Below are 10,469 nucleotides of genomic sequence, written 5' to 3'. Positions count from 1 at the left end.
TCTTAAAAGCAAAAGATGCAATTCCCATGTAAAAGACAAACTCCCTGAACTAGAAGGAAAAACAACACTCTTATCTTCAAGGACCAGGAATTAAAGCGAAGGAAATACCGCACAGACCTTGTTAGAGTAAGTTTTATCTTTTAAGCCTCCTCACATAATTTGGTTCAGAGCCTTCATAAGATTAGCTATCGGGGCAAATGAAAAACCTCCGAGTTTAGCCTTGTTCCATTTTGTCAGACATATATTTAGAATTCAATTCTCTTTTTATAAACTAATGACTTTATATTACTATGTTTTATTCATGACAAAATTTCTTAAATTAAAACTGTAAGATCTTTGTCTATATGTTTATATAATTTTAAAAATGTTTATATGCTAATATGATATTTTTCTACCAAAATGTGTAAAATAACTCAATTGGCTTAAAGAAAAAAACAAGCACTTACATAAAATAATTGATCACAAATATAGTAATTATCCTAAATTCCTTTTAGGTCATCTGACTTAATTATCTTTGATAAATAGGCTGACTTTAAATTGGTTGACAAAATGAAAATGAAGATACCTTCAGAATTGTTAGTACACATTATTGTTTTTGTTGGCGGGGGGGGGGTCCTGGGTTTCTTGGCCAAAGGTTATATTTGTCTCTGTTAAATGATTTAAAATCATAAAAGTACGTGTTTGACCTAAGAACAAAAGTACAGAAAAGAGTGCAATGCCATGTCCATTGTTTCCTGTATATTAAAGACAATACTTTAACTTTTAGGGTTTTTCTTTGACAGGAAAATAATTTGAAATAATAACTAGCTCTGTCTAACATCTCAGTTTGCATAAGTAATCTAGGTACAATTGTTAAAAATAAAGTGAATATAAATGGAATAAATGTTTATAGTTAAACTTTTCATGGAATTTGAAATCTTAGATATGTTACGTTGAATTAAATAATAGAGACTCATAAAATAACTGAGTCGTTTCTTTTTTTCTTTTTTTTTAAGTTCCTGGATACGTGTGCAGGCTGTGCAGATTTGTTACATAGGTAAACATGTGCCATGGTGGTTTGCTGCATCTATCAACCTGTCACCTAGGTATTAAGCCCAGCATGCATTAGCTATTTATCCTGATGCTCTCCCTCCCGCCGTACCTCCTCCACCCTTCAGGCCCCAGTGTGTGTTGTTCCCCTCCCTGTGTCCATGTGTTCTATAGCTGGGTCATTTCTAAATAAAATACTGAAACATGAATTGTTAAACAGAGATTCAAGTTTACTTACTTTTGGTTTCCTAAATTGTATAAAAAGACAAAAGACATTTGGGTCTATTAGTAAATAAATGTGTCTTCCTCCACATTCAGAAGTTGTTCTATAAAAATGTTTTTATAGATTTTATATATATATATATATATATATATATATATATATATATATTTTTTTTTTTTTTTTTTTTTTTTAGACAGAGTCTCGCTCTTGTCACCCAGGCTGGAGTGCAGTGGCGCAACCTCAGTTCACTGCAACCTCTGCCTTTCGGGTTCAAGCGATTCTCCGGCCTCAGTCTGCCTAGAGGCTGGGATTATGGGCACCCACCACCACACCCAGCTAATTTTTGTATTTTTAGTAGAGATGGGGTTTCACCACATTGGCCAGGCTGGTCTCGAACTCCTGATCTCAGGTGATCCGCCTGCCTTGGCCTCCCAAAGTGCTGGGATTATAGGTGTGAGCCACCGCGCCCAGCCGAGATTATAAAACATATAGTCATGAGCTGTTAATATATCCACAGGATATAATAGTTCAAAGTTACTTTCTGGGTTTTTACTAAAACTTAAGGTTACTAAAAATTAAAACTTCAAATTAATATATGTAATAGATGTATATTCTGTATGCAAAATATACACAAAATAATTTTTGTATGGGAAAGAATGTTGTGTGGTCTCAGCGACAAAGGGAATAAAGATAATTTTTGTCCTAAGGTAAAATAACTGAATGTTTCAATATATAAAAAGGGGGAAACATAGGACCAAGACTGGGGGCTTAGGAGAATGCTGAAAGGGTTGAGCAGCTCATGCAGAGTTTGTGAAGAATGGGCCTGGCACAGGGAGCTGGAGTTTCATGTGTGACCAGGCTGGCTGGGATCAGAAGGGAATCGTTTACAAGGTTTTCTGAGAATTGAGCACTGATGTCAGGGCACACTGATAAAGGCCTGGAGTCTGTCCTGTATGTTTGGAGCAGGGTTTTCTTAAGATGTTGATTTGCTCTTATGAAAAAACAAAACAAAGCATCGTAAAGGGTTTTGATTTCAATTTTGAAATTGGTTTCTTTAAATTTCCAGCCATCTTCTGAACTACAGCTTTTTCCTGTTTTACAGTTTCTATCTAATTTCAAGTTGGAAGTGCTGTCTTCTTCATTTAAAATGATGATTTTATTTCTCAGTGTAGAGTCTTCCTCTTAAAGTGTTTCTGATTCAGGATCTCAAGGGTCTGGCTTCTTACCCATGTCACTACATGCAATCTGTGGGTCATGCATCATTGCCTTCCACTCCTCTTCCTTCTCTCCTTAAAAAGGCACATCTTTTTGCTTAACTAAAGCGGTGACTTTCTCCCTCAAATTTTTCTTCTTTTGCTATAGCTTTTACCACTCCAGATCTGACTGCTGTTGCGGTTTGATGCTGAGAGTGCTTCGCTAAGGCCTAAGAGAACAATGTTTTCTTTTATAGAACTTGATTCTGTACTCTTAGATTTTCTCGTGGTGCCTAAATTGCTGTATGTAACCGGGCAGTCTCACATTCTTTTAGTTTTTCTGGAAGCCATGCATTCCCCTGCTCAGGTATTGGTTCTCTTGATTATATGATTCTTCTATAATATTGGTGTACACGAACAACCTTAGATGCCTACTATTCCATTACCTGATTGAATTCAAGTACTTTTTTCATCAGGTTTGACTTCCAGGTTATCCAAACAGGCTTCCAATAAAAAGAAGCAGTCATATTGTAGGAGATGTGTTTTGTTTTGTTTCTACCTTTTAGATAAACAGCCTAAGAAACAGAGATAGTGTGTTGTAAGGCAGTTTCGTGTGCTTTGTGCCATCTTTATTAGGTTTTTGATTACTTGGGAAAATGAAGTCATCTCTAATTCAGGTCTAAGATTTTTTCCTCTCAACTATGTAACTTTTTGCATTTGCTTTTGACATCTTTTAAATATCATTCTGGGTAAATAAGTGACTATTATTTCTCAATGACAAGTGATTCTATTTTAATTAAATATTTTAAGCCTTTTAACATCTTTGACAAATTTCTCAAAATCAGATTATAATTAAAGTCTTTTTAACCTAAAATTGACTTTGGGATTTTTCAGTTGGTTTCCTTAAAAGCCTCAAAGGATGTATTTCTCGTTAGGCTTATTTGATATTTTAGATTATGTAAAAAGCACTGCCAAATAATAAAGTGATACTAGATCTTTTAAAACTTATATTTAAGTGGATATGTTATTGATGTGAATATTTAAACATTATATGACATTTATAAAAGTCTAATAGTTCTGATGTGATGCTGTCAATTATGATTCTGGTTGTTATCTTAAAATGCAATAGAAATAACTGAATTTCCTTGTCGATTGCTGAACTTTATCCAATTTTAATTATTATCATTGTAAGTTATTGTCATCTACAGGTAGATTTTTCTCTAAAGGCATCTGCAATCAGGTTAATAAAAAAAGACTCTACTGAGTGCTCTTAAATACAGGCTTCTAATAACTTTTAAGATCAGTGGACTATAAAACTTTTAAAAACTCAAATGAAAAACTGATGGATTCATGAAACTTCTAATCAAGATTAAGCAGAACAAAATTATGTGAGATTGAATAACTGATAAAAATTATGATTTTTTTGATATTTGTTTGAAATGTTGTTGGTTCTTTATTTGAAACATTGTTGATTCTTAAATGTTTTGCTTTCCAGACTAAATACAACTTTCTGTTTTAAGTTACCCATAGTTCACAGCAATTTGGTGAAGTCTAGCATTATAAATGAAGGTGAAAACATTTTTTTTTCTTCCAACTTGATCCTTCAAAATTCAAAAACTATTTGTGAATTTTTAATTTATGATGATATAGCTATTTGCATAAGTTCATACAAATCTGTTTTCTTTATAACAAGATGCATCTAGAAATGTCAATTGTATTACCAAGATTTTAGTAACATGTCATGTTTAAAATTGCATATAGGCATTATAGATAAAATCCAAAGTTTGCCTTGAGGCTCTCTAGCCTCAAAAAAGAAAAAAAGTTCAAGCCAAGATTAAATCACTATTCTTGCTACACTTTTGTAAATAATCAGGCCAAATCTGATGAAACTAAATTTATTTTACAAGCAAATTATTCTTACTCCAATTATCTTTGGCAAATATATCAGAATGACTATAATATCACCTGCCATTGGACTGCAGCTCTGTGAATTGTTTTTGAGTTCTTGTTATCTACCTGTAGGCTGTACTAGATCCTGAATTCGAGTTCTCCTCAATATCTGGTTACAACCCTCCCACTAAGAAAAAGAACAAGAACTGTTGTCTTCCTGAGGCCCTATAGGCTGAAACTGAATGCACTTCAAGGGACAAATCTTGTGCCTGATGTTTGGACCGTACAGAGAGTTCACCAAACTGCCCAGTGCCATAATCAGAGACATTTGCACAACAATTTGCCAACTTCACGCTGTAGACAGCTTTTCCCAAGACATCAGAGCAAGCCTCCATATTATAATGAGACTCCTACACTCTTACCTTTGTTGCTTGTCAGGATTATGCCGAAGGTAAAATTTCACAGTTAGTAACTGCTATGGGTAACTTGACAGAACTTGACCTAAAAATTCCTTTAGTCCATCTAGTGGGTAACTTTAACAACATCCTTAACACAGCTCTTTGTTCAAATTGTGCTAGTGGTCCCTTTTGTAGAGTTGGCACTCTGCTTTAATTCAGCCAAGTCATGGAATGCTACTCAAAGGCTACAACAGGCCTTGCCCAGTTCCCCCCTGGCCTTTTGATTAGTTTAGTTGTTGCCCATAGGCTTGAGCTTGGGCTCTTGGTCCAAAGCCATTGAATATACTGGATTTTTTTTTTTTTTGAGACAGATTTCCACTCTTTTTTTTTTTTTTTTTGAGATGGAGTCTCACTCTGTCGCCCAGGCAGGAGTGCAGTGGCGCGATCTCAGCTCACTGCAAGCTCCGCCTCCCAGGTTTACACCATTCTCCTGCCTCAGCCTCCCAAGTAGCTGGGACTACAGGCACCCACCACGCCCGCTAATTTTTTTTGTATTTTTAGCAGAGATGGGGTTTCACTGTGTTAGCCAGGATGGTCTCGATCTCCTGACCTCGTGATCTGCCCGCCTCGGCCTCCCAAAGTGCTGGCATTACAGGTGTGAGCCACCGTGCCCAGCCAGATTTTCACTCTTGTCACCCAGGCTGGAGTGCAGTGGCGCGATCTCAGTTCACTGCAACCTCTGCCTTTCGGGTTCAAGCGATTCTCTGGCCTCAGTCTGCCTAGAGGCTGGGATTATGGGCACCCACCACCACACCCAGCTAATTTTTGTATTTTTAGTAGAGATGGGGTTTCACCACATTGGCCAGGCTGGTCTCGAACTCCTGATCTCAGGTGATCCGCCTGCCTTGGCCTCCCAAAGTGCTGGGATTATAGGTGTGAGCCACTGCACCTGGCCATAAACTCAATTTTTTATGCTCCTGCATAATAAATAATAATTATGCTGGAACATAATTGAGTTACGCATAATTCAATTTACTCTGAATTATTTCCTTTAAACATTGTACCTGTTGTCTGTCCAATCTCTGCAGGAATGACACTCCAAAAATAGTAATGCTGGCCCAGCACTTCAAATGATAACTAACACTTACGGAACTGACAACATGAAACTTAACAGTGGACTCCAGGTAGACTTAGCCTGACAGCCGCATTCTCCAGACCTCCTTGGTTGCTCAAATGTGGCTAAGAGGATTTTGACACTAACTCCTCTTTGCCAATCACTTCCCCTGACATAGGACCAGACCAGCAACCAAGGACAGGTCTGTCCTGGCACAGCAGGACAATCAAAACCTAACCACAGAATAGTTGATCTGCAATACTTTCAGAGAAAGATCTTCATCAAAACGGGGAAATGTAAAAGTTGTAAGACTCAAAATGGAATCACTTGTGTCAAACCCTGGCAAATGGAGCTGGGGAGGGTAAGAACGGGGGTGATATGGTTTGGATTTGTGTCCCCACTAAATCTCATGTTGGATTGTAATCCCTGGTTTTGGAGGTAGGGCCTGATGGGAGGTGATTGGATCATGGGGACAGTTTCTCATGGTTTAACACCATCCTTCTTGAGATGTTGTCATTGAGCTAGTGAGTTCTTGTGAGATCTGGTTGTTTAAACGTGTGTAGCACCTCCCCCAACTCTCTCTTGATCCTGCTCCAGCCGTGTAAGATGTTCCTGCTTCCTCTGTCCCTTCCACCATGATTGTAAGCTTCCTGAGGCCTCCCCAGAAACAGAAGCCACTATGCTTCCTGTACAGCCTGCAGAAATGTGAGCCAAAGAGGTTTAATTAAACCTCTTTTCTTTGTAAGTCACCCAGTCTCAGGTATTCCTTTATAGCAGTGTGAGGACAGACTAATACAGGAGGGGCTCTCATGCACTATTTGCCTGATAATAGGAACTATCACAAGAACTTTTTCCAAACCACAGCTTACTAGATAAGTCACACAGCACAGCTAGCTGCTTACTCATAAACAGTTGCCCAATACACTGTCTCACAAACCCAGTGCAAAACTACAGGTGCCTAACTCTAATTCCAAGATTAGAAGTTGTATCTAGCAGCTACTGACATTTGCCAGTGAACACTCACCAGCTGTTGTAAAATGCTGCCAGTGCCATTGAACTTTCTTTTAAAATAACTTGCATAAGGTCAGGAGATCGAGACTATCCTGGCTAACACGGTGAAACCCCACCTCTACTAAACAAAAAATTAGCCGGGCGTGGTGGCGGGTTCCTGTAGTCCCAGCTACTCCGGAGGCTGAGGCAGGAGAATGGCGTGAACCCGGGAGGCGGAGCTTGCAGTGAGCCGCGATCGCGCCACTGCACTCCAGCCTGGGCGACAGAGCGAGACTCCGTCTCAAAAAAAAAAAACAAAAAAACAAAAAAACTTGCATAACCTCCTGTTTCTCCAGGACACCCTAACCTTTCCCTGTATTCTTTGAACATGCTGGAGGCCATTCTGCTCTGCATGTATGCCCCAGAGTGCAATCCTACTTCTTGCATATTATTCCAAATAAAACCTTTAATCCAGAGATTCATCTCTTTCTCTATTTTTTTTTTTAAATGTTGAAACATGGCAGGTAAGGCCCAGCAAAATTCAGGGCAGGGCAAGGGGGTCCGGGAGCTGGGATGGGGTGGAGGAGGTCACCATCACAGACAGAGTAGCTGGGAATGGGCCCCACGGTGAAGGCAAGTGTCAATCCAAGGCTTTCAGGCAAAGGCCAGCTAGCAAGTATTGAGGAAGGAGCACCTCAGGCAGGAGAAGGCAAAATCCCCGAGGCAGAGAGCAATGGCTGGTACACTCCAAGGACCGGGGAGGAGCAGGAGAGGGGTCCCAGTAGAAACGGAGAACGGGAAGCCTGTACTTGGGGGTCACCCGGAGGCTGTGGCTTTGCAGTTAGTGAAGGGGGACACTCAAGGGTGTTCTAGAGAGGCCTGGCATGACCGCCCTGGGTTGGAACGGGCCACTTTGTCTCCAGAGCTGAGAGTATTCTGTGGGTGTTAGGGATGGTCAGTGATTTCTAGACCAGACCAAAGTGGCTCTTCACAGGCCTTTCTGGTTCTCACAGGGAGAACAGGCATTCCAGGGCAGAGCAGGGCCACGAAGGCCAGCCAGGTCCAGGCAGCAATCCAACCAGGGAGGTGGTGGAGAAGGCGGTGCCCAGCCTTGGGTCCTGGTCCAGGATCAAAGGCCGAGACTGAGTGGGTGTCGGCTGTGTGTATGGGAGCGACGAGGACTCCAGCATGGGTGGAGAGTGGGTTGTGGTGACCTTCACAGAGGAAGGCAAAATGAGCGCACACATGTTCAGGTGGATGGCGAGTCCCTTGGGGACCGTTGAGCCTGAGGTGCTGGGGGCGGACACAAGGACCAGATGCTGTGATGGGAGACGTGGCTGAACATGATTTGGGAGTGTTGCCATGTACATGTCTCAGAGTGAAGCCCCAGCAATCAGCCTGGACTCCTCATGCCGCTCACCACCCCCGAGGAGCACGCTGTCACCAGGTGCTGCCACAAGTCTCAGTATCTCCCCTCCCCCACACCCATGGCCATTGCTGCCCAGATGTATGGCTGGCCTCTCTCTACTGGATGTCTGTAATGAATGGCCTCCCTGTCTTGGGCCTTTCTGCTTTGGGCACTGGGGACAATCAAAGATGGCCATTCCTGTGCTATGGCCTCTCGTTGCTCTAGAAATGCAGCTCAGCCTTCCCTGTGCTTGTCTGGCTTAACGTGCCCATCGCTGGCTGTGCACCCCTCTGTTCCTCCAACCATTCCTGCCATTTCTTGCCTCTGTCACCTTTGCTGAAGCTGCTCTGCTGCCTGGGATACTCCCTGACCTGGCCATGGCAACCCAAAGGTCAGAAGCTGCTCCCCAACCGCACTTGCTTCTACAGGAGCCGAGGCCCCCGAGCTGCTCCCCGGCTCACAGAGCTCATGCGAATCTGCCCTTGTCTGTGCGTCTCTTTCCTTCACTGGGACTTCTCTCTCCCAGGAGCTGCAACTTCTACCAGGGAACATGGGGGCTTCGTTTATTTTGTCCCCAGAGTTCATCAGGTGCTGGGGCACCTCGAACAGAGGTCACTGACCCCCAAGGTAGCTCTCTCTACCCTTCCGGGGTTGGGGGGCATGCTCTCCCCTTATTCTTTAGGCCTGGGGTGCTCACAGGTCAGGTGCTTCTAGACTCAGGTGACCGTACTGTCCCCTGGGGACCCTACGCCCCCAGCCACCCTTGTCAAAGTTTCTTCGTTAAACCCCCGGAATCATTCTCACCTTCAGAGCCCCACTCCCTGTGGCCCTGGCTGGATGACAGTCCGATGTGATAAGCATGGGAACAGCCCGGCCCTGGGATTTTCAATGTCCTGTGAGTGTCGAGGCCCCAAGGTCACCTGCAGGGACCTTGGGTCAGGCTGCTCTCACATTGCTATAAGAAATACTGGAGACTGGATAATTTATAAGAAAAGAGGTTTAATTGGCTCACGATTCTGCAGGCTGTACAGGAAGCATAGTGCTGGCATCTGCCTCTGGGGAGGCCTCAGGAAGCTTCCGATCATGGCAGAAGGGGAAGCTTGCACGTTACATGACAGAGTGGGAGCAAGGGAGAGTTGGTGCCACCCTTCCCAACAGCTGGCTCTCTTGAGAACTCACTCACTGTCATCAGGACGGCACCAAGCCACCAGGGATCTGCCCGCCATGACCCAAACCCCTCCCACCAGGCCCCTCCTTCAACACTGGAGGTTACAATTCAATATGAGAGTTGGAGGGGGCATCCAAACTACATCAGACCTGCAGCTCAGGTAGCTCACCTCGAGGCTCAGGTGTGTTGGTTTCCTGTCACTACCATCACAAAACACCACAAACATAGTGGCTGAAAGCACACACACTTGTTGTCTTACCATGTAGGAAGTCAGAAATCCCAAAGTCAAGCTGTCAGCAGGGCCGGCTCCGTGTGGGGGCTCCAGGGGAGAATCTGGTTCTTCTAAAGGCTACTGTGTACCATGACTCCTGGCTTCTTCCTCACATCACTCCAACTCCTGCCTTCTGTCGTGACGTCTCCTCTGACTCTGACCCTCTTTCTCTGCTCTGATAGGACCCTTGGGCTGACACTGGGCCCACCTGGACAATGCAGGGCAACCCCTGCAAAGCCTTCACTTCATCACCCCTGCAAAGTCCGCTTTGCCACTGGAGGTGACATAGGCACAGGTCCTGGGGAAGACGTCTGCTAGGATGTCCTCAGAGGCCATGAGTCTGCCAGTCGCACCGGGCCAGGCCTATGTTTTTCTCACCCCTGCTGGTCTCACCTGTGGCAGGTCTTGGGCCTTTTATGGTCTGCTGGCCTGGGCTGGGCTGGGCTGTGCAGATGCGTCCTCACCACTGAGAATTCTGCTCTTTGGTCACCGGAGAAGGGCACCTGGCCTGAAAACTCCTGTCTGATGAAAGGGGTGCGTGACCTGTGGTCCCCAGGCTGGCCCCGAGTCAGTGCTAAGGGACTTTCAGGAGACCTAACTGGGTTAACTTGCACGTCCTTCGAGGCCCACGTGCTGCAGGGTGCACACACGGGGCCGCCGCAGAGGCGGCTGATGAGCTCAGAACAACCCGCCTCCTTTCTTCTCTTGCCCCCTCCTCTCACCCATGCCAGCCCCGGGGTAGAGTCAGGTGATCCCCCATCCCTCCCGCTCTATGGTCCGCCTGA

General features: G+C 43.9%; 1 annotated feature.

Annotated features, from left to right (window-relative positions):
• Positions 10,025–10,234: an enhancer, noted in NCBI's record as "active region_22334". NCBI's record gives its function as "activates an Ori minimal core promoter by ATAC-STARR-seq in GM12878 lymphoblastoid cells {active_cell/tissue: GM12878}" and the evidence as "EXISTENCE:reporter gene assay evidence [ECO:0000049][PMID:35858748]".

This window comes from Homo sapiens, chromosome 5 (assembly GCF_000001405.40).
Source record: "Homo sapiens chromosome 5, GRCh38.p14 Primary Assembly".
Classification (NCBI taxonomy): domain Eukaryota; kingdom Metazoa; phylum Chordata; class Mammalia; order Primates; family Hominidae; genus Homo; species Homo sapiens.
The sequence above is the reverse complement of the archived record's forward strand: the minus strand, read 5'-3'. Positions and strand labels throughout refer to the sequence as shown.